At 59.7% G+C, this 27219-nt stretch overlaps 2 protein-coding genes across 10 annotated transcripts in view, besides 11 other annotated features; both read right to left on the bottom strand.

The window, feature by feature from the left end:
• Nucleotides 1-301: part of an enhancer, noted in NCBI's record as "H3K4me1 hESC enhancer chr1:9675483-9676027 (GRCh37/hg19 assembly coordinates)", that runs on past the window's edge. NCBI's record gives its function as "activates a minimal SCP1, AML or CMV promoter by ChIP-STARR-seq in naive H9 embryonic stem cells {active_cell/tissue: H9 hESC(naive)}" and the evidence as "EXISTENCE:reporter gene assay evidence [ECO:0000049][PMID:30033119]".
• The window catches only part of LOC124903837 (uncharacterized), a 7653-nt gene extending 6591 nt beyond the window's left edge, over nt 1-1062 (bottom strand). Inside the window, exon 1 of the mRNA XM_047436734.1 lies at nt 254-1062. Coding sequence (XP_047292690.1) covers nt 254-1062 — 809 coding nt within the window. The remainder of the gene's footprint in view (nt 1-253) is intronic.
• TMEM201 (transmembrane protein 201) lies at nt 849-26815 on the bottom strand. 9 transcript variants are annotated; one of them, XM_017000549.2, is made up of 13 exons: nt 26683-26815; nt 19716-19836; nt 18673-18867; nt 17101-17277; nt 14272-14621; nt 13454-13657; nt 7937-8169; nt 5815-5886; nt 4921-5220; nt 4653-4711; nt 4386-4507; nt 3836-3973; nt 849-2740 (listed from the first exon to the last, which is right to left on the bottom strand). In XM_017000549.2, the coding sequence occupies exons 1-13, from the start codon at nt 26793-26795 to the stop codon at nt 2527-2529; spliced, it is 2298 nt and encodes a 765-aa protein (XP_016856038.1). In that variant the 5' UTR covers nt 26796-26815; the 3' UTR covers nt 849-2526. The 9 variants fall into 9 exon arrangements, with proteins under 9 accessions (XP_016856038.1, XP_016856041.1, XP_016856040.1 ...); XM_017000552.3 differs by lacking the exon at nt 26683-26815 and adding an exon at nt 26128-26370; XM_017000551.3 differs by lacking the exon at nt 26683-26815 and adding an exon at nt 25956-26119.
• Nucleotides 3771-4006: a silencer, noted in NCBI's record as "fragment chr1:9671778-9672013 (GRCh37/hg19 assembly coordinates)". NCBI's record gives its function as "represses an EF-1alpha promoter that drives an FKBP-Casp9 reporter gene in an ReSE screen in HepG2 liver carcinoma cells {active_cell/tissue: HepG2}" and the evidence as "EXISTENCE:reporter gene assay evidence [ECO:0000049][PMID:32094911]".
• Nucleotides 16777-17976: an enhancer, noted in NCBI's record as "CDK7 strongly-dependent group 2 enhancer chr1:9657808-9659007 (GRCh37/hg19 assembly coordinates)". NCBI's record gives its function as "activates an origin of replication core promoter dependent on BRD2, BRD4, P300/CBP, MED14 and CDK7 cofactors, with strong dependence on CDK7, by STARR-seq in HCT116 cells {active_cell/tissue: HCT116}" and the evidence as "EXISTENCE:reporter gene assay evidence [ECO:0000049][PMID:35650434]".
• Nucleotides 21121-21717: an enhancer, noted in NCBI's record as "H3K4me1 hESC enhancer chr1:9654067-9654663 (GRCh37/hg19 assembly coordinates)". NCBI's record gives its function as "activates a minimal SCP1, AML or CMV promoter by ChIP-STARR-seq in naive and primed H9 embryonic stem cells {active_cell/tissue: H9 hESC(naive and primed)}" and the evidence as "EXISTENCE:reporter gene assay evidence [ECO:0000049][PMID:30033119]".
• Nucleotides 21121-22315: a biological region, named in NCBI's record as "hESC enhancers GRCh37_chr1:9653469-9654066 and GRCh37_chr1:9654067-9654663".
• Nucleotides 21521-21815: an enhancer, noted in NCBI's record as "tiled region #8288; HepG2 Activating non-DNase unmatched - State 14:Gen5'". NCBI's record gives its function as "activates a minimal TATA promoter and a strong SV40 promoter by Sharpr-MPRA in HepG2 cells {active_cell/tissue: HepG2}" and the evidence as "EXISTENCE:reporter gene assay evidence [ECO:0000049][PMID:27701403]".
• Nucleotides 21521-21815: a silencer, noted in NCBI's record as "tiled region #8288; K562 Repressive non-DNase unmatched - State 14:Gen5'". NCBI's record gives its function as "weakly represses a minimal TATA promoter and a strong SV40 promoter by Sharpr-MPRA in K562 cells {active_cell/tissue: K562}" and the evidence as "EXISTENCE:reporter gene assay evidence [ECO:0000049][PMID:27701403]".
• Nucleotides 21718-22315: an enhancer, noted in NCBI's record as "H3K27ac-H3K4me1 hESC enhancer chr1:9653469-9654066 (GRCh37/hg19 assembly coordinates)". NCBI's record gives its function as "activates a minimal SCP1, AML or CMV promoter by ChIP-STARR-seq in naive and primed H9 embryonic stem cells {active_cell/tissue: H9 hESC(naive and primed)}" and the evidence as "EXISTENCE:reporter gene assay evidence [ECO:0000049][PMID:30033119]".
• Nucleotides 26370-26439: a silencer, noted in NCBI's record as "silent region_225". NCBI's record gives its function as "represses an Ori minimal core promoter by ATAC-STARR-seq in GM12878 lymphoblastoid cells {active_cell/tissue: GM12878}" and the evidence as "EXISTENCE:reporter gene assay evidence [ECO:0000049][PMID:35858748]".
• Nucleotides 26600-26799: a silencer, noted in NCBI's record as "silent region_224". NCBI's record gives its function as "represses an Ori minimal core promoter by ATAC-STARR-seq in GM12878 lymphoblastoid cells {active_cell/tissue: GM12878}" and the evidence as "EXISTENCE:reporter gene assay evidence [ECO:0000049][PMID:35858748]".
• Nucleotides 26810-27219: a silencer, noted in NCBI's record as "silent region_223". NCBI's record gives its function as "represses an Ori minimal core promoter by ATAC-STARR-seq in GM12878 lymphoblastoid cells {active_cell/tissue: GM12878}" and the evidence as "EXISTENCE:reporter gene assay evidence [ECO:0000049][PMID:35858748]".

Here is a 27219-nt window from a genome sequence, read left to right as displayed (position 1 = left end):
GCTGCTGGAAGCCTGAGCCTCAGGTTTAAACATGATGTTCCCAACATCTTGAGGACCCGAGGTCAGTGAGCTCAGAGGCGTTTGTGGCTCCCGCTGCAGGAAGCTCCTGATGGGAAGCCGTCCCAGCCCTGCACCCTCATCTGCCCTCAGGGTCTGGTTCAGGTTGGTCCTGCCGGCCCCTGGGAGCCGGTCCCCCTGCTCACTGGCTGTGGTCCTCCTGCCCGCTGGGCACTGGGCCAGAATGACAGCCCACCTTGGTAGAGCTCCCTCTGCGTTGTGCTGTGGCTTAAGGGTCCCCATATCAGCCCCGGATGGCCGTCCTGTTACTCCCGTGTCAAACTGAAGCCAACAGAAATGCAGATCCCAGTCACCAGAAAGGTGACCCCAGAGCTTGTGCTGTGACACCCTGGCCATTCCCCATCCCCGCCGCCTCAGCATGGAGCCGTGCAGCAGCTCTAAGCCCTCTCTGAGGAAGACGAGGTCTTTTTCACAACCTGACCGTGGTCCCTGCAGCCAGGGGCAAGGACGGTCAGGGATGGCTGGTGGGCTCAGGCTTTTCTGAAGAGCTGAGCTGAGCATTTCCTGCCTGGACACCCTTCTCTGCGCAGCAAACTCTGGGGTGTCCTTCCGGCCCAGGCTCAGCCAGGCAGCGAGTCTCCTGTCCAAATCCCTAAGCCCCTCCAGGGACACTGTCTGGTCACACTGTGGCCACCCCAACCCGAGCCCCCCACTCCAGAACCCCCCGTTGAAGAGGAAAGAGAAAGTGGATGAGAGCCCCCTTAGCAGGGACCCTGCCCTACCTGGAAGGCCCGAGCTGCCCAAGCAAACGAATACAGACAGCCAGCAGGCATCATTCAAAGGCTGTATCTTTTTTGGTTTCCTTTTTTGCTTTTGTAAAGAAAAATAAGGTTGTGTTTTCTGTTTGAAACAAAACATAAAACCCCCTCCCGCTGGGCCTGTTCCCTGGCTCTGGGGGATGCTGGGACCGCAGGTCTGGGCAGGAGAGGCCAGGCTGCCCGGCTGAGAGGAGGGAGCGCCCTCAGAGCCAGAGATGGAGTGCATTTGGGAATGGAGTTTGATTAAGCAAAAAATAAAAAACCTCGACACACACACACACGCCTGCTATACAGAAATGGGGACCAAGAGGCGCTGCCTCCGAGTTGGAACCATTGCTGGCAGCTGGACTCAAAAGTCCTGATGCTGTCCTGGGGCCCCCATTCCCCACGTTTCAGGGGTAGGCAGGGCAGGAGGCGGCATCCACAGCTCTCAGGACAGGAGTCAGGGGAGAGGAGGGTGACGTCAGAGCAAGCTCCTTCCCCACATTAAAAAAAAAAGTATTAAAAAAGCACCCAAAGCTTAAAAAAAAGAATCCTCCATGGCAGGGAGAGTTGGGGGCATCCTGCTTACTAGCAAAATGCCTGACCTGGCAAAATGTGTAGAAAAATAAAATTAAACTTTATCCCTGAATGGCAGAGTGAAGACCCTTCTTCCCGCCCCACAGTGAGTCTCAGAATCCACCGAGACAGCTGATTCCTCCCCAACTGGCACCAGCACATGACCAGCAGACACACACTGCCCCAGGCCCGTGTCCCAGGCCCAGGGTGGGACAGCGGAGGGGCTCTGATAGCCACGGGTGCACGGTCCCTCCCCGCTGCCTCACAGCATTGGGAGCGCCCCTCCTCAGTGCCAGGAAGGAGCCCCAGCAGGGGAGTGGGCAAGAGAACCAGGGGAAGATGGGGTTCTCAGGGGCTCCTGGGCAGAACTAGGGGAAGATGGAGTTCTCAGGGGCTGGAGGCAGGTGCCCAGTAGGGTGGTCGAAGGGGTGCAGTCTCATCTGAGATCTGAAGGCCCCCCGCCAGCCTGCCCTGCAGTTCCATGTGCAGCTGAAGGACCAGACGTGCAGGCCTGGAAACACAGGGCGAGGTGGGCCAGGGCGCTCCGCATTCTCAGGGTAATGGGGCTGCTTCCAGGAAGGTCAACAGAGGTCACAAAGCAGGGCACATGGGGCAGGGGAGGGTGGGGCAGGGGCTCGCGCTGGTCCTGGAGGCCCAGCTGGGCCTTTGGCTGCTCAGACCTGGGAGCTCTGAGGATCCCGGGAGCCCTTCTGCCCACTCCACAGGAAGGGGCAAGATAGGGCAGATGATAAGGACCATGCTTCCCCCTCCCCCAGGGGGCCTTCAGCTTAGTGGGGCTCTGAGGTTGCCCCAGGTGAGACAGGGGAGTACAGTACAAAGATGTGACTACGCCTGTGGGCGTGGGGCCAGAAGGCAGGCCGGGCAGCTCCTGCTGCAGTTACAGTAGTACTGGCGTCCCTGCCAGGCAGGGCTGAACTGTGTGGGGCACCCCAGGGTCATGCAGCCCCTTGGGGCTCCCTGGCTTCGGGATCAGAGTGTCAGCACCAAACACAACCGATGTCAGCCAAGGAGGTGAGTGGGCAGAGAGTGTGACCTCAGACACATGCTCAGCCCTGCAGTCCGTTAGGTGAGGAGGGGCAGGTGTCCTGAGGACAGTCACAGTCCAGTGAGGTCAAGGCCCTGGAGATGAGGGCAGAGGTGGCAGCCCCTCCAGGGAGGGTCCTGAGGCCGGCAGTGGTGAAGCAGCAGGCACCGGGTTGCTCCCCTCCGAGGGGCTCCAACGGTGGGTCAGCGCAGGCTCTGGTACAGAAACACCGAGGTGAACAGGGCGTTGGCGGCCAAGCTCACGGCCAGGAGGCCCCGGACCAGGGAAGGGCCGAAACGACCTGCAAAGCAGAGACCTGGTCAGAACATTGTTTGGGTGGGTGGGTTCGCTGTGCAGCTGAGCAGCCCCCTAGAGCATGCAGTTTGTGGGGAGCTCAAGGCTCTGCCCAGGGTACTCTCTGAGACTGGTGAGGCTCACCCCCAATTCTTCTCTTGGCCAAAGGCTTCCCTAGCAGGAAAGACCCCCACTCCCTGCCTCCCTGAAGGCACAGCTTTTCCTAACCCTGAGCCGCCAGGAAGGCCATGGGCTGGGCTGTCATGAGCTGGGGCCTGGGTGATGAGGCAGTGACCACAATGGCCACTTTACAGATGAGGTCATGGGGGCTGGGAACAGGAGCACCCCATCCAGGCCTCCAAGGGAATAAGCAGCCAACCCAGGTCCACCTGCTGCATGCCGCAGCCTGCGTTCTCACCAAGGCCTCCAAGCTGCTGGGCCACCCTCCAGCCTGGGGCAGCACTGGCTTTGAGAGTCAGTGCAAAATGACCTGCCCAGGAAAAGCCCTGCTTGCTGATCTGTCCATCTCCCTCAACACACACCCCCTCCTCCCCACCCAGGGAGTGATGATGTGTACCACAGATCTGGTCTCTTGCCCCTGAGCCCCAGGGTTAGTGAGCAGAGAACCTGGGATCTGAGCCAGGCAGCTCGGCACCCGGTGCAGGCTGCAGCCCCAGCGTGACGTGGTCCCGGTGCACCCAGGCTCTCTGGGCACTTCCGGCCAGGATGGCAGCCTTCGGTATGTGTCCTAAATGCCAGCCACGGGCCACAGGTGCCTACTGAGCACTTGAAATGTGGCTAGTGCAGCTCAAGAACTACATTTCAAACTTTATTTAATTTTAATTCAGTTAATTTAAATAGCTGCCTGGGGCCAGAAGCTACTGGAATAGTGCAGATCGGGGCCCAAATCCCGAGAGGGGGAGTGCCGTCTACTGAGTCCCTGACCCTGGATTCAGAGGCGCCGGGTGGGTTACTTGTCGGCCACTCAGGGACTGCAATGTCCTGGAAGATTCTTTCTGTCAGTGCTCTGGACCCCCCTGGGGGAGATGGTGGCTTCGGATGTGTGCCCACCCCCTCCCCTCCCGCACCTCAGGGTACAGACCTCTCCAGGTGGCGGCCTCCTCCGAGCAGCCCCTGGTGGTGGTGTCCACCACACAGGTAGATGACTGGGAAGAGTCGTCCTCTTTCTTGATGGAGCGGTTGCTGCAGGCACTGCCTCTTTCCAGCTTGGATCTCAGGTCTGCAGAGAGAAGGGTGTGTTTCTCAGTGGCGCTCATGGCTCCCTCCAGGGACAGACGCGGGGCAGCTGTACTTCCACTCTAAGGACAGTTGTCAGAAGTGGTGAGCCAGGCTGTCCCAAGCCACTCATCCACCCTGGACAGTGGGGGGCCAGGTCCTTGCTCAACTGTCCTGCCACCTCTTGTCTGCCAGTATTCAGGCCCAAGGTGACCAGATCTCTGACATTGAAAGAGACGTGGGAAATCTAAACATTCGAGGCCGGGCGCAGTGGCCCACGCCTGTGATCCCAGCACTTTGGGAAGCCAAGATGGGTGGGTCACTTGAGATCAGGAGTTCAAGACCAGCCTGGGAAACATGGTGATATCCCGTCTCTACTAAAAATATAAAAATTAGCCAGGCATGGTGGCGCGCACCTGTAGTCCCAGCTACTCGGGAGGCTGAAGCAGGACAATCTCTTGAACCCTGGAGGAGGAGGTTGCAGTGAGCCAAGATCACGCCACTGCACTCCAGCCTGGGCGACAGAGTGAGACTGCATCTCGAAAAAAAAAAAAAAAGGAAATCTACAAATTCATGTGAAAGTTGAAAGTTGTAGGTTTTAAAGGCTGGGGGCTAACTATAAACATTTTAAATGCTTTGCAGTACAGCACCATTTGAGTGAAACTATCTGTGGCCACACGCACCTGGCAATGCGTGATGTGTTTTCGATCAGTTCCAAGAAACAGAGGACCCTGAAGGTCAACTGCAAAAGGAGAAACTGAAATCAGCCATTAGAGGTCAATGTCCCAGAGGGTTCAAGTCACCAGAGCCGGAATGGGGTGCCTAGAGCTCCAGGGTGGGAAGGCGCACACCGGAGTCAGAGCAAGGATGAGCCCCCCCACCGCCGCACAGCCAGGCCTCTTGGCAGCAGAGGCCCTCCCACGGCCCCTTGGGGTGGTCAGAAGGCCGTACCCAGGGCGTGCTTCACGTCCTGCAGGGGCGGCTTCCGGGGAACATGGGGCGGCTCCATGGTGAAGAGGCTGCCGTTGTGAGGCGAGTGCTCATCGGAGCTGCTGGGCGTGGTGGGGGCCTCTCCAGGGGGTGACGGGAACAGCAGCAGCTTCTGTCCCTTCAGGTTGAGCCGGGCAGGGCTGATGAGGGGCCTGCGGTGGCGCAGAGAGCCGGAGCTGGAGGCCACCGAGCCGGCCACGGAAGGCGCTGGGGAAGGGAGTGGGGAGGAGGGGCAGCTCCCCGACAGAAGAGAGAAGTAATCTGGAGGGAGGGAGGAAGATGATGTGAACGTGGGCTCCTGTCACTGCAACGCTACAATGCGCTATTTCATTTCTGGGGGCATTCTTCTATTAACCCGGGAAGACAGGAAAGGTGCAGAGACTGGGGACAGGGGGAAGTCCTGCTGCAAAGCTGAAGGAGGAGAGGTGCCCTCTACCAGGCACCTGAGGGAGAGGAGAGATCCCGGAGCCTCAGCCATGGCCTTCTGCCCTTGATTTCCATCCAAAGCCCTGGGTACCATCAGCTGAGAGCAAGGCCAGATAGCAGCAAACCCTGGAGGTACAAGGCCAGCTCACCCGAGGCCTTGCTGCCAGCTGGCACCTGGTGCACCAGTTCCAGCCGTGACTGCCACTGAGGACGGCAGAGCAGCATGGTACCATCTGATCCTAGAGACTGTCATTCCCATTTCACGCAAGAGGAAACTGAGGCACAGGTGTGTAGGTCACTTGCCCAGGGCTGAGATGTGAACACACACTTGGGGTCTGTCTGACCCCAAAGCTCACACAAACCACCATGCTCTGGAACGCCCGGGCTTCATGTTGCCCCGTCCCCCACTTAGCTCTCTGTCTTCCTCACCTGAAACAGGAAACTCCCCAGATCGAGACACCTGAGATGGTGGGCGGCTACCGCTGAACAGATAGCCGGAGTCTGGAGACAGAGAGAAGCGGGCGACACGTCAGGCCTGTGGATGACGTGCAGAGGCCCCCACAAATGCTCTGCCGAAATCCCAATCCAGCCTTTGCTCTTTACAAATGTGCTTTCATGGAAACACAGGTGCTCACGGATTCCTCGGACTGCTGTCTGAGGGCTGCTGGGCACGTTCCCTTTTTGCAGATAAAGAAACTGAGGCTTGGGCTGGGCGCAGTGGCTCATGCCTGTAATCCCAGCACTTTGGGAGGCTGAGGTAGGCAGATCAGATCACGAGGTCAGGAAGAAACTTGAGGCTCACAGCAGGTGGTGAGAAGAGTCGGCACTGGGCATATTGTCCACTCCTCGTTCCATGCCCTTCTTCCCACAGAAGGGCCTGCTTTTCCAGCCATCTAGTCCCACTTTCTCCACTAATTGCAGACCCCAACTGCCTGTTCTCTCGATCCCAGGGATCACCAACCACGCTGCCTTTTCCTAAATCAGGCGCACGCACCCCAAGGGCAGGGGCCCCAATTCCAAGTGGCTGGCTGAGAGCTGAATGTGGGACCCAGGGACTGCCTCATGTCCTGTTGCCACCTGTGGGCTCTGAAGGGTCTGTTGCAGCATGCAGATAACCCTCCCCTCACCAGGCCAGGGGATAGGCTGGATAAGGGTGGTCACAAGGACCCAGCATGCCAACCAGGGTCCTTCTAGAATCCATTCTATGGATGCTGGGAGAGGCCGTCTTCCTGCTGGGCATGGGCTGCAGGACACAGGGATGAGGTGTGTGGCAGAGAAGCGGACTGAGGACAGACAGGGAGACAGCAAGCTGGATTCTGGCCACAGCACCTGAGCCCGGTCCAGCGCGTCTCTGAATACATGAGCCAAAGCCCTGCAGGAACTCCTGCCCCCGACCCACCCTCTGGCGATGGAGACCGGGCTCCTCCCCCCGACCCACTCTGGTAATGGAGACTGGGGTCCCATCTGTCACCGGACACTCCAAGACAAGCTTGCGCCCCAAGACCTCTGCTGCTACCTCAGACAGGTCGCTACTGTGTCCCTGCCTTGAGCCTTAACAGGGAGATTGCCTGTTCTTCTCTGTGGGCAGGAGCCCCTGCCTTGGAGGCCTGAACTGGCCCTGGGATTGCCACGCTCCCCTCCCAAGGGGCTTGAAACAGAAGTCCCTGAGCTCTGCCACCTTGGTCAGTGCGCACAGAGTTTACTCGGAGTGCTCAGGCCCAGGGCAGGGCTGCTCCTGGCACCTCCCACCCCAAGTTCCATTCAAGTGCCACCAGGCTGGGGTGCCCTGAAAATAGGGGGGTATCTCTGCTTAGGGGAAAAGCAAAAGCATCCTAATATAAACCTTGGCGTGTGTACAAAATGGCCTGCCCTGTAACTGCACGAGAGGAGAGGGGCCTTGGCTGTTATCAGCATCTCCTCCCCTAGAATAACTAGAGTGGCCCCCTTTGCTGAGGGGCATGTTGCAATTTTAGAGGAAAAGATTAGGGCACAGCACGGTGCACACATTTACCCAAGGTCATGTCACCAGAGCTGGGACTAAGGGGCCGTGCTGGGGCTCCCAGATGATATGGCAATTCTGGGCACTTTATTTTTATTTTTGTTGAGACAGGGTCTTGCTCTGTTGCCCATGGTGGAATGCAGTGGCGTGATCATAGCTCACTGCAGCTTCCAACTCCTGGGTTCAACCGATCCTCCCACCTCAGCCTAAATAGCTGGGACTATAGGTGTACGCCACCATGCCCAGTTAATTAAAACAACTTTTTTTGTAGAGACAGCGTCTCCCTATGTTGCCCAGGCTGGTCTTGAACTCCTAGCCTCAAGCCATCCTCCCACCTTGGCCTCCTAAAGTGCTGGGATTAAAGGCATGAGCCACCTATTCCTAGCTAGCCCCATTTCTTTGGGGGGAACTGAGGCTCAAAGCTCTGTGCTGCCTGTCTCTGCAGCAGGAACACTAACCACTCCCGGCCCTCCCTACACTATGTACCCATCCACAGTTCTGTCCCAGCTGCCCCTAGCCCTGACTGTCTGCCAATGCCTGGGCACCCCTTACCTGCTCGAGTCAGAGAGGGTATGGTTCCCAGAGAGAGGGCCCGGCTGAGGCGGCCAGGCAATGAGGAGGGTGAGGTCCGTCGAGGAGACCGGAAGAGCTGCTGGTTGGCGAGGGGCAGGAAGCTGGGCGGGCTGGGGATGAACAGAGACGCTGGAGAGCCTCCGACACTCGGGTGAGGGATGGCCAAGCTGGGGCTGGTGGGGAAAAGGCCGGCAGAGTCTCCTGGGAAGAACCTGCAAGGGCCCGTCAGGCACGGGACAAGAAGAGGGTCAGCGGGAGGTCCTGGAGGCAGCCTTGCAGTGGGTCCCACCCCTCTCCCACAGTGCAAGGTGGGGGCCTCAGCTGGGGTCCCAGAGGAGGCGTGCGTTAGTTAAAGCAGAAAAGCAATCCGACCACATTCACGCCATTAGGAGCGGGTGGCTGGGAGGTGCCAGCAAGACCCGGCCCTCCCCACATGCCCCCTCCTACCCCCTCGGCTCACAGCAAACTATCTCCACTACGAGTCTCGGTATTAAAGTGACACTGTCGCCTTTGCCAACCTCATGCCAACCCTTTCGCCTTGAAGCAAAAATGCCCAGCCCCGTGCCAGGCACTCAATGAAGGTTAATGGACTTGGACTCCTTGCCACTTCTTGTTCTGTGCCGAGCCTTCCCACAGAGCGGCCGGGCTCAGGGACATCCTGGCTCATCTCCCAGATGGGCCTGGATCATAGGAAGTCAGGCCCCAGCACGGCTCTGGGCACCCTCTGTTCCCAGGTGTGATTCCTGGAAGTCCTCCCACAGCTCTGCCCTTAGAAGGCTGCCTCCTGCTCTCTGGCCTTGCACTCTGGAAACTCCTCTGAAGTTCCTGGTAGAGCAGAACTGGGGGGCAGCCAGGCCTTGGAACCCCCTGGAAGAGGCTCTCACAGGACAACGCCAAAACCGAACTTAGAAGAGACCCATCCACGACCGCAAGGCTGCCCGAAAGACGGAAGGTGACAGTGTCTCTTTAACTCGAGATGGTACAAATCACACAACAGGACCTGATGGCCCCACGCCAGAACGTCAACCATGCTTCTGATTAAGGCACCCAATTACAGAGGGAAGAGAGGGACAGAGGCAGTTAATACATTAGTCCACCGTCTGGACGGAGCTCCGGGGGTCCAGCCTTACCTCGGTGCCAAGGGACAAATGAGCCCAGTGGACAACGTGCTGGTGAGCGGGCAGGCTGGCCCACGCCCTGCAGGAGCCGGGGGCTGCTTAAGGGACCTGCGCCCAGCATGACTGCATGCTCGGGGATCGCTAGCCAAGCCGCGCGCCACCAACCTCCCTGCTACTTTCCCTCTAAAAAAGTTTTATAAGGAAAGTGTGGGGCCAGCTCTTGACTTCCCGGAGAATCATGTAACCTTTCTAATGCCTTCCAAGGTGCCAGGAGACCACCTGGACTTCAGAACCAAAGGCGAGGCCATGTTTGGCGAATGTGGGCATCAAGGCAGGAGCTGAGCTGGGGACCCTGGGGAAGGCCCCGGTCAGCCGGACTGGACACATCCTTGTTCCGCCTGCTGACCTGTGATTCCCAGGCCCAGCGCCCGCTGCTTGCCCCCAAGACTCCAGGGAAGGCTCCACCTCTACACAGAAGATGAGGTTTTGTGTCGTCATGTTAGAATTCTGATTCCATTTGGCGGGACAGCGCAGCGACTTCAGGGAATGACCCTGAGGGCACCTTTAGGCAGGGGCAGTGAAGGTGTTGCTGGGACCTTGGGGCATGACCCTCCATGGGAGGGAGTTTGTGGGGCAGGGCTCTGCGCTAGGCTTCCTGTGCCCACCCTGCCCGGCAGCACAGACATAGCCAAGAGTCAGCCAAGGGTGACCAGGTCCCCCAGTGACCTGAGAGTACCGTTGGGGGATGTGTGAAAGGAGGGTCCTAGTGGGCTGTGGGTATGAGGTGGTCAGCTGGGCCACGCAGCTCCTGGCCCCAAAGGGTGGGCTCTAGCAGGAGTGGCTGGGTCTTGCCAGTGCATCCCCACTCCTCCCAGCTCCTGCTCACACCACCCGGGGCTGCCTCAGTGCTTAAAGGCTGAATCTCCTGGCCACCTGGCACAGGGGCTGTTGTTCCCAGTTTGGTGCCACTGAAGATGGTGCTGTGGGGAGTTCCTTCGCAGTTTGACTCCCTCACTGTGATATGTGGGAACATCACTCAACCAGCAAGACCTCGTAAATCGCTCACAGGGCTGGGCATGAGGGGCTGGGCTCTGTACAGGCGCCCCAGCGAGCCTCCGCCAGCTAAAGGAGCCCAATCTGTTGGACCCTGGAGAACTCCAAAGGTGCTAACATTTCCTTTGGCGAGAGACCCCCCCCGACTGCCCTGTGCCCTCAAACCACGTCTCAGAGAGGGACTAAGAGACCAGGATCAGGCCTGGATGCTGGCTCTGGGGAGTGTCAGAGAGGGACTAAGAGGCCAGGATCAGGCCTGGATGCTGGCTCTGGGGAGTGTCAGAGAGGGACTAAGTGACCAGGATCAGGCCTGGATGCTGGCTCTGGGGAGTGCCGGAGCGGATACGCTCATCTGACACCAAGGGGAGATGTCTGGTCTTCTCCGACCCAATCCCAGCCCACATCAGGAGTGGAAGGAGAGAGACCACGTTTTAAGCAACAGTTTATTGAGACGGAAAAAATATGATCCAGCAAAGGCGAGGAGGCGAGCCGGGCCCCGAGCCAGCTGGTGTCATTGTCACTGGCTCCCAAACCTGACTCCTGTGGACGTGTCTGTACCCCAAACACAGCTGCCCACCCCAGCCCTGGCACAGAGCCCTTCTGAAAGAAAGAAAAAAGAAGAAAGACGCGGCACCTGACGCCAGCGGGTAAAAGCAGGGCCCCAGAGGCATTTATTGAAAACACAGCATCCAAAACACGACATCTAGGCCAGGCGCGATGGTTACAGTGATGAGAGGGTCACTAGACAATTATCCACAATTCTACGACATGAGACAGAGACTCAGCAACAGTCACAGACAGAAGGGTCATGTGTTCCTTCCTGGGCAGGGCTGAATGTGGCAGGTGCGGCGTGGAGGCTGCGTCCTGGCGGTTTGCTCCCAGGCAAGGGGTACGGGGGGCCGGCTTGGCCTGGGTGGGGACCTCAAGTCTGAGGGTGAGGATGGCTGAATCTACCTCGCTTATGTCTCAGGGACGGTCACCCATACCTAGGATGACCCCAGCCAGACCCTAGAAGGTCTGATGGCCATCCCAAGTCCCCCGCGAGGAGAAGAGTTCCCTGGCAGGGGTGACACATTCCCGGTCAACAAGCCACAACACAGTGGTGCCTGCACTCTCTCAGCTGTTGCCACAACACTTGGTGCTGGAATTTTCTCCACGTAGTGAAACTTTTAAGGGACACATGAATAATTTAAAAAGTCACACAAAACTCTACGAAAGGCAGGAATCCTCACTCTGCTGAGAGCTACCTCCTGAGATGTCGCTTCCGGACCCCGGCAGAGGGCAGGAGCGACATCAGCTCGGCAGGAGGATCCTGGCCAGCGCGAGGGCTGGCTCTGGTTATTATAAATAATCTAATTTAAATACGCACATACACACAGATGTCCTGCTTCTACCCAACGCCAAGAAAAGCAGACATTAGCATCACACTGTCAACACTTCCTCGAGAACCGAAGATTCGAGACGCAAGCAACAGCATGGCCAGCCGACAGGACGCTTTCCCGTCCTGGCTCCACCACGTCCTTCTCTCAGATGGGCTCTTTGTGGGCTGGGGGGTGGCGTGAGTGCACAGGCAGGCGGTTCCCTGCCCCTCAGGTAGACACCATGGGGGGCCGCTTTGGCTCACCCGCCCCAACTCCTCACTGCAGAACCAGTGGGAAGCGTGGCCCCGACCACATCTTTTCAGAGGGGTTTTCTCACCTCACGCTCCACACAGAACAACAAGCTGAGCCCAGTAACGCTGGGGCCTTGTCTGAAGCCACGCAGGTCATCGGGCACAGAGGCCACAGAAGCCCCCGAGGGTCTCCCGATGCACCTGGGTTCCTCACTTGTGAAGCTGGGTGGGATGTGAGCTGCTACCCAATCACTGGGGTGGGGCAGCCTCTAGGACCCCCAGGCGTGGCAGATTCACAGCAGTGAGGCCTGGCACCTGCCCCCCCAACCCATCCCGGCAGACCCAGGTGACGGGTGTAACCCTCATGCACCTGTGATCTGCTCTTGCCTCCCCCGGGGTTCCAACGCACAGGAGAGAGGAGCTGGCACACCCTGGCCACATCTGGAAGGTGAACTCGTGCTCAGAGTGGCGAGTGGCAGGACATGTGGGCCCTGAGGGAGTGGGCAGCCAGAGGGAACATGCCCGGTGAGGGACGGCCTCGGGCCACTCTCGACTGGGACCCCTGGATAAAGCCCCCAGGCCGGGAACTTCCTCTGCACGTGGCAGCCCCTCGACTTCCAGAGTGTGTCCTCATGAGCCACCTCATGTGATCCCCACACCCACTGAGCTGGCACCCAAGGGCTATGGAGAGGGGTCCACCTCATTTCATAGATGGCAAACTGAGGCTGAGAACAGCAGGGGCCTGGCCAGGCCCTGCTACTGAGGAGCAGGTCTGTGGGCTGCCCCCTCACCTGAGTCGGAGGACAGAGTGGCGCTGGGCCATGGTGAGCAGGCACCTGCAGAGGCTCGTGACAGGTCAGGGAGGGAAAGGATGACAACGACCTGATGTCACTGAAGGCCTGCATACCCTGGGCCCCTTACCCTTGGAAAAGCTCAGATTCCCCAAGGTCAGCACAGGCTCCTACTGCCTGTCTCAGGTGGGGTCTCGCTCCCCAAACTCATGGCGAAGGCCAGGCTGGGCCCAAGAACTGCACTCTCCATTTCCGGGGACTCGGGAGGGTCTTGGAGCAGGAGGCCAAGCAGCAGCCAGAGCTGCAGCTCGGCCTCCTTCACGGCTCCACCACCTCCTGCAGGGCCGGTCCAGCCATAAGCAGGACCAAGGGGACAGACCACAGGTGCTCCTCAGGGGTGAGGCTGGGGCTCTCTGCTGCCCCAGCCTCACTCTGCTGCACGGTCAGGGCACGCCAGGGGCCCAGCCTGTAGCCACTGTCACCACCCCTGTGCAGAGGCCAGAAGGGAAGACAGCAGGACCAGGACCCTCACCCAACAGTGTCAGAGCCAGCAAACGGCGTGGTGAGAGGGGGGTGCCTGGAGCTGCCAGTAGGAAGCCATGGGCCAGAGCCTGTGTGGGCGCTGCCCACATTCCAGTCACCAGGCCAGTGAAAGGGCCATTGGCCAGAGAGGTGGCAGCAGTGGTGAGTGGCTACAGGGCACTCGGGGATGGCTGGTGGTGCCCGAAAGGAAAAGGCAGGGCAGACTGACTCTTCGAGGCAGTGGAGGGACTGGGCCAGGACCTGGGGCTGTAGGGTGGGGGTGGGAGGGCGTGAGCAGGTGAAAAGAGGCAGGACAGAGAGGGGCCCGCTTCGGACCTGGCAAAGCCTGGGCCTGAGCATCCGTGTGTCCTCCCCCCGCAGTCATGGCTGCTTCTCTGACCTTCGGGGCCGGAACCTCCGTGGGCCCGTTGCCTTCCTTGTGGCCACAGCCGCCGTGAAGCCAACCAGGCAGCACAAAGATGTGGTGCTGAACTTGAGCGTGTCTAGCCAGCTAGGCGAGGCGGCCTGCAGGTGCTGCTCAGCCAGGTGCAGCCCCAGCAGCAGGGCCCACAGGCAGGTGCAGAAGGCATCGATCCTCCGGAGCCTGAAAGGGAAGCAGCGGGGTCACCCCAGGGGAGGACAAGACCTCCTGGGTCCACGCCTTCCTTCCTGCCTCCTCTGTCTATACCTGGCCCTGCTCAGAAGAGTCCAGAGCCAGGGGACAGTGTGGGCTCGGAATCCCCTCACACTCACACGCTACCTGGCTCTGAGCAGGTGGGTCAGTGTTTCTCCTCAGCCTGTAAGTTCTAGCCTAAAACAGGGCTAAGGAAAATTCCTCCGAGTCGGTGAGCAGGGGCGACGGGGACACAGCACTCACAGGACATGCTCCCACTCAGGGAACCCCAGAGGCCCCCACGTGAGCCCCCACAACCCAGGAGGCAGGTGGTTATCGTCATCCTGATTTGACAGAGCCCGAGGAGGAGAGAGGAGGCAACCCGGCCCAGCCCACAGCGGGTGTGCACGGGGCTGGCTCAGAGGGCGTCTGCAGCCTCACCTCACCTACGACTCCCAGCCCCTGGGACCAAGCCTTGTACCAGTGACATGGTGGAGTTCAGCCTAGGGCTGTGCACCCAATGGGGTCTCTTGGCCCCCGCCCTAGACAGTAATCCAGCACACAGTCCCCTGCCCGCCAACTCCTGGCCCTGGCCCCATGCACACCTGATGCGGCCAGCCAGCAGCATTGCCAGCAGGCAGGTGAGTAGGCCCAGTGCCACGACGCCCGTCTGGTGGCTCTGCCCAAAGGCCCAGGCCTCACACAGCTTCTCCGCCATGTGCTCGGGGAGTAGGCCCAGCAACTGCCGCCAGCCCTCGGCCCCAGGGGTGGTGCCATTGTCAGGTGTGGCTGAGCCATTGCCACCAGGTGGCAGGGCCAGGGGCACAGTGGTGCCTGGGGCGAAGTGTCCGCTGGCCCCATACAGCGCGGTGGTCAGTAGGAAGGCGCAGGCCAGGAAGGCGAGGGCACGGAGCAGGATGACCTGGACCGGGGACTTCACGGCGGAGGAGAAGTTCTGCAAAGGAGGAAGAGAGGCGGGTTAGTGAGACGGCCACAGAGCCACCCCCAGCCATCACCGGTGCCAGTCTGTGCGGGGTTCTGGCCAGACCCATGTTCTCACACATCCTGGGCTTGGTTCAAAAACTCACCACTCAGTTCCACCGGCCCGCCTCACTTCTGGGCGGGGAGGAGTGCTGCTCTACCACCCTCTCCTTTTAAAGAAGACTTTCCATATTGTAGTGACCTTATTTTGGCTCACTGCAACCTCTTCCTCCTGGGTTTAAGCGATTCTCCTGCCCCAGTCTCCGCAGCAGCTGGGATTACAGGCGCCCACCACCACACTCAGCTAATTTTGTATTTTTTTTGTAGAGATGGGGTTTTACCATGTTGGCCAGGCTGGTCTTGAACTCCTGACCACAGGTGATCCACCAGCCTCGGCCTCCCAAAGTGCTGGGATTACAGGTGTGAGCCACCGCGCCCAGCCAAGTTGAGCCCCTTCCTTTACTCTGGGGAAGCAACATGCCCATGGGGCCACCTCCCTACCCTGCTCCCCAGGCCCCTTCATGTCATCCAGGGTGGGTGTCCCGGGAGAGTGACTGGTATCACCACGCGTTTATTATGTGCGTATCTGAGCATGGGTTTTAGGGGTGGCCCTCCTGTTTCTCAGCACTTTCCTGGCACTTGCATTCGTCCTCCTAGCAGCCTTGGTGGTGCACTCCTAAGCCCTGGACCCATTTACAGCTGTGGAAACCACACTCAGGGAAGCTGAGAAACTTGCACAGGGCCACGTAGAAAGCCCACATCTGGTATGCAGTGGCTCCAGGGTTTGAGCCCAAGACCATCTGGCTAAAACTAATTTTTATCATAGTACTCAGTTGATAGAATATTCTGGTTGTTTAAAAAATCTGGTATGGTAGCAAGGAGGTTAAGTAGTAAAATCTACCCCTACAAGGAAACTCCTATCCACCCCTTTGTGTCTCTAGATGTGACCTGGGTCTGATTGATATGTGGTTTCCAGTCTGCAGCTGGGACACAGCCGTGCTACCTCTGCCCTGCCACACGTCTGCACAGCAAGGCACCAGGTGGACCCTCTCCTGGGGCCTTTGGTTCTCATTCTGTCTGCCTTGTTCCTGGTCTGAATAACTTACTACTGTACTTTTAAGGTTAACTTTTGCCACAGTTATCTGTCCATTTATGTCAGCTCCAATTAAAATCACAATAGGGGCCGGGCGCAGTGGCTCACGCCTGTAATGTCAGCACTTTGGGAGGCTGAGGCGGGCGGATCACGAGCTCAGGAGATTGAGACCACGGTGAAAACCCGTCTCTACTAAAAATACAAAAAATTAGCCAGGTGCCTGTAGTCCCAGCTACTTGGGAGGCTGAGGCAGGAGAATTGCGTGAACCCGGGAGGCGGAGCTTGCAGTGAGCCGAGATCACGCCACTGCACTCCAGTCTGGGCGACAGAGCGAGACTCCGTCTCAAAAAACAAAACAAAACAAACAAAAAAACCTCACAATAGGAATTTTTGGTGAGAACTTCACAAAATGATGGAAACAGTTATTTGGAGGCCGGGTGCGGTGGCTCAGGCCTGTAATCCCAGCACTTTGGGAGGCCAAGGCGGGTGGATCATTTGATGTCAGGAGTTCAAGAGTTCAAGACCAGCCTGAGCAACAGGGTGAAACCTCGTCTCTACTAAAATATAAATATTAGTCGGCTGTGGTGATGCGTGCCTGTAATCCCAGCTACTCAGGAGGCTGAGGCAGGAAAATTGCTTGAACCCGGGAGGAAGAGATTGCAGTGAGCCGAGATCGCGCCACTTCACTCCAGCCTGGGCGACAGTGTGAAACTGTCTCAAAAAATAAAATTTAAAAATAAATAAAAGGCTAGGCATGGTGGCTCACGCCTGTAATCCCAGCACTTTGGGAGGCCAAAGTGGGAGGATCACCTGAGGTCAGGAGTTCAAGACAAGTCTGGCCAACATGGTGAAACCCCACCTCTACAAAAATATAAAAATTAACTGGGCATGATGGCGGGTGCCTGTAATCCCAGCTACTCGGGAGGCTGAGACGGGAGAATCGCTTGAACCTGGGAGGCAAGGTTATAGTGAGCCGAGATCGTGCCACTGCACTCCAGCCTGGGTGACAGAGCAAGACTCTGTTTAAAAAAAAAAAAGGACGGGTGCAGTGGCTCACATCTGTAATCCCAGAACTTTGGGAGGCCAAGGCAGGCGGATCACCAGAGATCGGGAGTTCGAGACCAGCCTGAACAACACGGAGAAACCCCGTTTCTACCAAAAATACAAAATTAGCCAGGCGTGGTGGCGTGTGCCTGTAATCCCAGCAAAACTTTATCTCAAAAATAAAATAAAATAAAATAAAAATAAAGGGGCTCAGCTCTGAAGAGCTACCCTCTGGTCACTAGTGCCCAGCCTCCTGGGAGGGTTTCCTGAACAAACTCAACACCCCCACCCCCGCCCTGTGGATGCCGCCTCTCACCTGTGCGTGGGTCTGGTCGGCCTCCCGGCGCTTGAACTGGTGGCTGAGCAACAGGGCGCGCAGCTGGCGGTTCTGGTGCTTGATGTAGTACTCCACAGCCGCTTGGCACGGCCGGCACAGCTTGTACATCTGCTCCAGGTGATGCCGGTACACCTCGACCTCCTCGTCATACCTGCCCTGTGGGGTTGGGGGAACAGGCTCGGCATCTGCAGGGGTGGATGAGCTGCCTCCATCTTACAGGTCAGACGTGGAATCAGATCCTGACCTGCCACTTACTAGGGGATGACCGGGGGCAAGTCAACCCCACTTTGAACCTGCTTCCCCTCTGCCCAACAGGACAAATGCCCACTGTGTAGAGCCATGTGGACTACCGGGAGTTAGAGCCAATCCAGGGCAGGGCCCACAAGTGATGGGGACACTAACAAGGTTCTGTTGCTCCAGGGACGCACCCGCAGGCCAGGAGCTCAGGGTCTGCTCCCCAGATGCAGAGCTCCAAGAAGGTGGGTGAACATGGGGGAAGGTGGCTGCGGGCTGACACTGCCTGGAGTGGGGCAGATGGACAACCCCGACTGTGGCGCTTGCCCTTCCGCTTGAATGCTAGAGAGCCCCTGGCCAGGCCTGTCTTTGTGGCAGGTGAAGGTTTCTTTCAGCTTCTGAAATAGCCCAGAAGACAAGTCCCCTCCTTCTCAGCCCTTAGACGTGCAGCACTGCAACTCTCCCTCCCTGTTTCTGAGGAAGCAAACGTTTTGGCCTGCAAGGCCAGGAGGGTCAGGAGTGTGATCCCTTGCTGCGACCAAGCATGCCGAAAAGCTGCCTGGCTGCCAAGTCACCCCTGCCTTCCCCTTCTCGCAGGTTCCCCATCCCTGCCTTGGCCTGAGTTCACCTCTGTTCTCCCTCCCTCCCAGGCTGGACCCCAGGAAAGCCAGTGTCTCTGGGCCCCAGCTGGGACCTGCCTCTTGAGGTGACAGGACTCCCTGGGCTGGCCGAGGGCAGGAAGGAGCAGCCAGTAAGCAAGGCTCTTGGACTCCATGGAGGGCACAGGCAAGGTGAGGCTCCCAGCTCAGCCCAGCTCCTTAATGCCAAGCCTCTCAGCAATGTCTAGCTTCCTCCTCCTCCCAGAAGCCAGTGGCATCCTCCACCAACCCCACAGCAGACTGCCGGGGCCACCAGCAGGCAAGGCTGATTCAGAGAAACAGGACAGAGTGGGTCCAACAGGGCCCCACCTGGAACCCAAGGTCCCTTCCTCCCTCTGCCCAGGGACAAATTCCTCTGGACTGGCAGGTGCTGGGGTTTCCACGGTGTTCCTAGGCTTGGAACCCCGATAGCAGTGACTGTAAGACATGGGGAGAAGCAGCTCAGCTCCAACGGGGTCAGAAGAACTAACACATCCTGGAATGTGCTGGCAGTGGCAAGGATGAGGGGGCCCCTTTGGGCACTCAGAACAGAAAAGCCGCTGTCTAGCAGAGCAGGGGCCAGAGGACCAGAGTCAGCACCCTGCACGTGCCTGTCCCCCGGCTGCTCTAAGCATCCCTGGCCCCAGCCAGGACCCCTGCCCTCCCAACCCGGCCTCACCTCCTCGCGGGGAGCGAAGGCGGCCAGCTGCTTGATCTTGGTGGTCTGGTGGTGGTTGCACCTCTTGCACAGCAGGACTTGGCTGCTCACCCACTGCTGCGGCTGCGAAGGGTCGCGCAGGCTGGGCGCGCTGCTCACCACGTGGTTCAGGTGCTCCAAGTACTGGGCGGGGATCGGCTTGTTGTAGTCGCCGTTCTGCGGGAGAGAGGTGGGACTCGAGGCAGGCAGGCCCTCCCAGCTGGCTCAGGCTTGGTGATGTCCCTGGGGGCCCGCCCCGCTCCAGGCAAGTGATGGTAGATCTCAAACATCTCCATTCTTTTTTTTCTTCTGCACACAACAGCAGCTGCTTTTCTTCTCAAGACACCTCCATGGAACCCAAAGGCCCAGATGCCGAGTGAAGCCACCTAGCCTGAGCACAGAGCAGGGCCTGCAGCCCGCCGCCCACCCACACACCTCTAGCCAGCATCTGTCCTCAGAGCCCTACCCTCTCGGAACTCAGTCTGCAAACCCTGGTCTAGTCCAGGGGACAGCACACTATGACCCGTGGAGGAGCTGCCTGTTTCTGCAATCAAGTTTTATTGGAACACAGCCAGGCTAATTCACTCTTGTATTACCTACGGTGGCTCAGCAGGGTTAGCAGTTGTGACAGAGACCAAATGGCTTCCAAAGCTTAAAATACTATCTGGCCCTTTGCAGAAAAGGTTTGCTAGCCCTGATATAGTACAGAGAATGAGATGCAGAGCCAGAAAGACCTGGGTGTGAACCCCAAATCTGCCACTTTTAGTGGTGTAACCTTGGACAAACTGCCATGGCTCCCTGCGTCGGGTTCCTCCTCAAGTGAGGAGACAGCGCCAGGGCAGTGGTGAGAATCGAGTGAGACAATGTACACGAAACACCATGCTCAGGGCCTGGAGAGGACAGGGTATGAGGGTGTGGGGTCCATGAGCCCCGGGGCAGGGCAGGGACACAGGGTGGTCTCAAGGTGCAAATCTCAAGATCCCCACCCCCGCGTGCCCACCCGTCCGCCTGCCTGTGACCCACACCTCCTGGAAGCCGTTGTACTGCTCGCAGTGGGGACAGTCCCAGCAGTTGCGGTTCCCATAGGGCACCAGCGTATCCTGGTTGCAGAACCAGCAGTTGACCATCGTGTGCGTTGGCTTCATCCTGTGGACCAAGGAAAGAGCGGGTTGGCCTGGAAGACCCCAGCACCTGCTGGAGAGGGACCTCCATGCCCTGCCCCAGGGCCACCAGGGAAAGGGTGCTGGGAGTGGGATCTGGGATCTGGGGATGCAAAGCTGGAGATGCTGGCCCCAGAACAGCAGGAGGAACAAGGGCTCTGAAGGAGAGGAACGCAGACTAGGTACGGCTGCATCCACCCAGGACCAGACAGGGAGGCCACGGCCAACCTGGGCTTCTCAGTCTTCAAGGGGAGGAGGCCAGCTGGAGCCTCAGCAGATCCCTAGGCTCCAGTGCGGCCGCACGGGGACCCAGGGCCACCTGCTCCTGGTGGCCTGGGGCTCACACATGGAGCACAACAGGGGCCAGGGCTGGCCAAACCAGGGCTGACTGGGACCAGGTTCGAGGACCACCCCTCCCCCACGAGGTCCTTGATCCTGGGCTGCAGAAAGGGTGCGCCCCAGGGAGCCTCCAGATTGAAAGGGGCCTCCTGTGCTCCAGAGAGAGACAGTCCCAGGATGTGAGAGCCAAGGAGGCTGAGGGGAGGGAGCAAGTGACAGCTGCCCAGCCTGGGGCCAACCCTCTCTGGTGGAGAGGACAGTGGCCCTCGCTGGCTACACGTGTGGTGACAGGTGGGGCCTCGGGATAATCCCAGCCCAGACACTGGGGGATCTATGCTCTGGGCCCCCCTCTACCCACCTCATTGGTTGTGGGACACTGGGGGACTGGGGAGGGGTGGGCAGAGAGACCGCCACTGCCCAAAAAAGCCCCCCAGTTCCGGAAATCCAGGAACAATGTGGGTGACAGGCAGCAGCTGTGGGAGCCCTGGGGCCCCGGCTTTGCTGCTCCGACTCTCCACCTCTCCCCCAGGGGCCACCTCCAGCTCGAGGACACCGCTTGAGCCCCTGCCAGAGTGGGCAGCCACTCCCTGCACAGACGGCCCCCCGTCCACAGGACCAGAGAGCACGGCCCTCTGGCCTTTCATCCTGAGGCGCTGCTCAGAGAAAGGAGGACGGAGCCCCAGGAAGTTCCTGTACTCTCAGCCTCAGTGTCCACATCTGTGAAGTGGGGGCAACCACAGCACCCCCGGCTTCTGCATGCTGCAAGGACGCAGTGACACAAGACAGAAAGGTGCTGTGCTCTGCAAAGAGCCAGCTCTGTCGCTAACCCATCGGGCTGGCCAGGGGCCTGAGGGGGAGGCTGGGCCCTGGGAAGCAGGGCTCCCGCTTCTGACACTACTGCTGCTGCCCGGCCCTCCCCTCCACCCCCTTCTCCTGACCAGGGGCATATGAAGGGAGATGTGTGATCACCTGTCAGCTGGGGACAAAAGCACCTCCCTCACAAGGGACTGCTCGTGGGACGCACTTAACAGTGACTGGCCTAGAGTATGTACGCAAAAAAGCCAAGTTACATGGAGTGGGGGGAGGCTTGGGAGAGAAGGGGAGATGGGACCAGGCCCTGCGGGGAAGGCCCAGGGCCCACAGGGGCAGCTGGGATCTCCCCCAGCAGCCTCGGCCCACACCCTTCTCACCCCACACCCCCTGCCCCAGCACAGGCCCAAGCCCTCACAGAGGACAAGGACCGCTGCATCTTGTCAACAGCATGGAGACAGCGGGCAAGGCCTGCAGACCAGCGACGAAACGGAGCCAGCCAGCTGGGCAGGCAGTATGGCAACAGGCATGGCCTTGGAGAGCAGCTCTGCCTTCTAGGGCCGCAGTCTCATCCCTCACCTGTCAAAAGGGGCTGCTGAGCATCCCTGCCCCAGGAGAGGCCACTGTGAGGATCCTACAGGAGAATGCAGGGAGGCGCTCAGTGCTCGGCATTAGGACAGCGCCACCGGGCGCCGACTACATGAACAGCCAGGGAAGGAGACTCGCTCTGGGGCATGTGGAGACCTGCTCTGCTGCGGTGCCCGCATCTAGCACTCCCGGGCAACTAAGCACGTGGACTTCCCTGTGCTAATTACTAGCTGTTGTACAGGCTTCTTTGTAACTGTGCATGGGGGCGTGTCCTGATGGGTGAAGACCTGCTTGTGTGACCCCCCACCCCTGAGCCGGACAAGGCTCTGCACCCAACTGACTTTGGGTGACAGGCTTCCTATCCCCACGGAAGGCCCCTCAGCTCTCTTACCCTGTTTGAAAAGGAAGGTCAACCCTTGAGCCTGCCTAGGGGACCAATGACAGCTGAGCAGGGGCTGTGGCTTCTGTCCAGGGTGCCTGCCATGAAGCCCCGCCCACCCCAGGAAGTCATGTTTCCATTCTGAATCTCCTGCTCTGTTGCTAGGGAAATGGCTCCACTGATCTAGAATGAGGCGGCCCGGAAGAGGGGGGAGGCAAGGGATTAGCCCTTGTCCCTGGGGCCAGCAGCTCTAACTCCTGTCACTCTCAGCCCTGGGTAATCCCTGCTAGAGTTGGGGGTGGGCTCTCTGGTGGCCAGAGCAGCTGCCACCCACTTTGGCCAGGCGGGCCCTACCTGCCAGGGGGTCCTCTCCCACAGTGCCTTTGGGGGTGAGCCCTGAAAGGTCCCAAGAGGCAGGTAGGCCAGGGGTCGATGGGGAGCTGGGCATGAATTGCAGGTCCCCCAGGCACCAGCACGGCGGCGTCAGACACATGACCACATGTGAAACACTGTCCACAGCTCGGACGAGGTCCCCACGCAGGTGGGGGAAGTCCTGGCCCCTAGCCTATGCTTGCCTCTGCCCGGCCTGTTGAGGCAGCATCTGGGTCAATCTCTTCTGAGCCAGCCTAGGCTGGACCCTGTTTTTGCTCTGGGAGAAGCCCCCAAGTTTCCCTGATAAACCCCTCAGCCCACTTCTCTTCTGCAAGCCAACAACCTCCGTCCTTAACTTGACTCTGGGACAAACCACAGTTGGTGGGCAAGGTTTGAGGTAACGTGACAGAATGTCCCTGCAACACAAGCAAGAGAGGAGCTCGGGCCTGGAGGGGCTGCCCCTGCCCACAACGGTTCCAGCTCTGGGGGGACAGCAGCTGGCCCTATGGGTCCCATTTGATGGGTGGACACGAGGGCCTGGAGGCCACTATCTCGGCTCCTGCTAGCTCGATGCCGAGCCCCTGGGAAGCCTGAGGAAGCCCGGAGGGAGATGGGTCCCTAAGAAAAAGCTAGGGCAGCTGCATGCTCTGTACCTGCCCCGTCCACAAGCCCAACATACACACTGAGGGAAAACAAGACGGGCACGTGTCCTTAATGATGACACCACTCCAGAGCCCTGAGCACGGACATGTATTGAAACAAAGCTCCTGCGGGATGCCTCACTATTCCCTGCAGGTGGGAGGGGCTCTGTTCTAGGTGCGAGCCCAGCGCTGGGTCCTCAGCCTAGGAAAGCACCAGGTAGGGGGAACCTGCTAGAGGGGGCACTGGATGGGGCTTGGTCCCTGCCCTGGGGAGCTCAGTGGTTGTAGCAGGCTGGCCAGCTCCCAGAGTCTCTGCCCAGCCCTGGGAAATCATCACCTCCTCAGACAGGGGCCTTAGCACATTGCTCAGGACCTGGGACACTGTGTGCTGGCCCCAGTGCGGGGTTGGAAAGACTGTAAGAGTCAGGTTCCCTCAGGGGCCAGGGAGCCAGAGGCCAGCCTCCCAAGCAGCTCCTCACCTGCACTTCCCGCTTAAGTGGGCAACACCGTGTTTCATTCAACCAGAAGGACCAGAGAAGAGGCCTCCTGGGCTTCAGCGACAGAAGCATCAAAATGCAACTCAGAACTTAGCACTGCCAGGGCCTCCAGCCCATCTCCAAGCAAAACATACTTGAATCCACAGCAGCAACTCCAACATCAGGATGGAAAACGCCCCAATCCACCATTCTAGGGTCGCTCCTGGTGCGAGCGGAACATCCCATCAGTTAAGCAAGCACCACCCTAGGCTGGCAGAGATGCAAACGTGAGCAAGACAAGAACGACGACCTCCCAGGGCAGCTGGTGACAGATACCACAGGACAGAGGCCAATAAGCGGGGCATCTGCGGTCGCCCTGAAGCACAGCTGTGCTCACCAGCAGGGCAGACGGCAGAGGGAGGGGACCACCCAACGTATGCCCGGGGTGCGGCGGTTGCTCAGGGAGAGTGCGCAGCAGCAGGAGAGTGAGTGGGAGGGGGGAGCCTGGAAACGGGAAGGGCCGTTACAGGGGACTCTGACTTCCAGAATGAGGCTCTGCTGCATATCCTCTGGGAGGCTGCATCCTCTTTGTCCCCAAACACTAGAAAGGAGACAATCCCAGTAAACACCAACAAAGCCCCGGAGGCGGGGCGGTGGTGTGTGCAGGGATGTGCTGGCAGAGCACGGATCCTGGGCATCGTTTGAAGAGGGCTGAGGACAGGCACCCGAGCAGCAGCGTCCAGGGGACAGGGAGGCCTAGGAAGCCACAGACTTCACGACGGCCTGGACACAGGGAAGTGAAACTGGGGCATCTGCCCCCCAACTGTGCCGACCGTGGTGGCTTCCCATAGGTGCAGAGAAGCAGCCAAGGGGCTCCATGAGCACCCAGAGGTTGAAGCTGGGCTGACAAGCTGAAGTTCTGGTGCGAGGCAGGGCCCTGCCATTTAACAGCCGGGTGATGTGGGGCAGGTAGCCCAACCTCCCCAAGCTTTGGTTTCCTCATCTGTAAAATGGGAGAACAGTAGAGCCCGCCCTGGCAGTTTCATGAGGAGACAGTGTGCTGTGCTTACAGCCATCAGCTGCTCCCATCAGTAACAACCATGGAAGCGAGAGGACTCCATGCGTGGGGAAGCCAGGGCGGGCCCTGACTGAGGCTGTGGGAGGACTCAGTCCTTCAGAGAAGCAGCCTCCTTCCCATGCGCCTCAGCCAGTCCTAAAGCACAAGGTGGGGCTGACCTGCCCACTCCCTCTACATCTTCCTCTCTGTCCATCTCTGTGCTGAGCCTGCAAACACCCACCCAGCCAAGTCGCCTTCCAAAAACAGCTCTCCTTACATGCCCTCCCGAGGGTCATTCAAAACCTACACTGCAGCCAGAGTCAATGCTTGGTTCCTCACTGTCACAGCACTCTCCTCCTCGGAGGAAGGCTCAACCTCTTGCTAGGTTGGTCTGGCTTCTGAATCGTGACAGTGGCCAATTTATGACCTCCAGGTGAAACCCAGTGCTCTATGAGGACATCTTAAAGCATCCTGGGAAAGGCTGGCCCTTCTCGGCCCAATCAACAGCAAGGGTCTCAATGCCACACCGTGACCTGCTGGTGTCGTCAGGGGCGTGAAAGGACTTCCAGGCACCCTCCTAGTTCCCCTGGCACCAGCTAGCCCAATATCTCTCCAAGGCCCCAGACTCTTGTTTCCAGGAGATGGAGAGCTGTGGCCAGCAGGGCAGGAAGGGGAGACAGCATCCCTGAGGACAGCTGCAGTGTGTGGCACAGTGAGCCACCCAGTCCAAGTCCAGCCTCAATAAACACAACGGAGGTGCTGTGTGGCTGGCAGACTATCCCCTCCCCCAGGCTCTCATCCTTGAGGCAACACCCCCCATCCTGGGTTAGCTGAGAGGCGGCTTCGTCCAGGAAGAACACCGGGTGCTGGACCAGCTCAGCTGGCAACATGCTCTGGGAATGTGAGCAAATCACCTGAGGTCTCTGGACCTCGGTCCCCTGGGTATAAAACCACCGGCTTGGACAAGCTGGTCCTGCAGATGCTCAACTTCCAGGAATCCAGCAGAAACCGACATGGAGAGACTTGGGTTGTCAGGGACCTCTGGGCTGGGGTCACTCAATCCCCAGCTACCCTCCTCAGTCACATCTGGCCCATCCTCCAGACACAGCTGATGTCCCTCCCATGCCTTCCTCCTCTGGGAAGCCTCTGTGACTCAACCACCTGTACTTCTTTTTCCCCGTTTCCCCCCTGGAGGAGAGAAGCAGCACCGGTATGTGTTAAGGAAGAACAAACAGACCAGCCAGACGATCAGGGTTCAAACCCCAGCTCTGCCACTTGCTGCTGAGTGGGCAAGTCCCTTCTCCCCTTTTTCCTAAGGGTGTGAGCTCATTGCATCCCTTGCCGAAGCTGCAAACCCATCCACTCTTTCTAGGATGTTCTCACAACCCCACTTTCCCCCCTGCCCTCTGGAAAGGTGGATCAAGTGGAGAAACAGTAAGCTACCTGCGAGGCTCTGCTGAAGCAACAGGCCACTAAGCTTTTATGCCTGGCGATGGAGGCCGATGAAAGAGGCCGGATCTGAACCCGGGGGCCCGCATGGCCCGTGAGCCGGGCAGGGAGGAGGGTGGCCCCGGCCCGTCTTGAACTGTTTGGAGGCATCTCAGGCCTTGCCCACCTCTGGGAGGCAGCCCAGCCTCGGGGTCTGCCCTGCAGATTCCATCGGCTCAAACCATGATTCCTCTCATTAACAGCAAGTTACTGAGCCTCCCTGTCCCTCAGCTGCTCTAGCGTAAGCAGGGGCTGTGGCTCTGAAACGCGCGGATGCGAGGCGTGTAGAAAAACGCCCGGGACGTCACATGCCGAGCAGCAACCGCCAGCCGCGATCGCCAGCATCGCCGTGCACCGGGGCCCAGCACGGGGCTGAGGGCAGGGGCGGCCCGTGCGCACCGGCTCCAGCCCCCCGCGGCTCCCGGAGGAAGTTTGTGGCCCCCGCGCGGCGCTCTCGCCCGCGCCCCACGTTCCCGGAGTCCCCGCCGCTCCACTCGACTCCGCAGCCGCTTCCCGACTGCAGTCTCAACCCGGTCTCGGGGGGCGGCGGCGCGCGCCGGGGGTCTCCGCGCGCCCGCGGGCAGCCCGGGTCCCGGCCGAGGGGGGCAGCGGGCCGGGGCGGCGCGGGGGCGGGCCTGGCGGGCGGCGCAGAGGGCCGCGTGGGGCCGAACCATGCACTCACCTCCGCGCGATCCGGTAGAGCAACACGCCGGCCGCGGCGCACGCCGTGACCCCCAGGCCGCCGGCCAGGCCGGCCGTGGGGCAGCGGGCCAGCAGCGCGCTCACTCCCTCCATGGCTCTCCGCGTGGAAGGACGGCAGGCCGGCAGGGGGGTAGGCGGGTAGGCGGGTAGGCGGGTAGGCGGGCAGGCGGGCAGGCGGGCAGGCGGGCAGGAGGCGGTGACGCCGGGGGCGCGGGCCGCAGGCGGGACGCGGGGCGGCGACGCGCGCCTCCTCGCGCCGTGACCTTCGCCGCTTTGTAGCGGGCGCGGGCCCGCCCCCTGACTCGGCGCGCTCCCGTCGCGCAGCCAATCGGGACGAGGGGTGAGCCCGGGTGGGCGGGGCGGCGGCGGAAGCGACAGAGCCGGCCGGGGAGCGCCCCCGCGCGGCCGGAGGTGGAAGGCGGCGCGGGGAGGGCGGGGCACGGAGCCCTGTAGGAAAGCCCCGCCTTCTGCCTCCCGCGCCAGCCGCCAGGCCCGGAGGTCTGGCTGCAGACAGTCC

Source organism: Homo sapiens, chromosome 1 (genome assembly GCF_000001405.40).
Source record: "Homo sapiens chromosome 1, GRCh38.p14 Primary Assembly".
NCBI classification, from domain to species: Eukaryota; Metazoa; Chordata; class Mammalia; order Primates; family Hominidae; genus Homo; species Homo sapiens.
The sequence above is the reverse complement of the archived record's forward strand: the minus strand, read 5'-3'. Positions and strand labels throughout refer to the sequence as shown.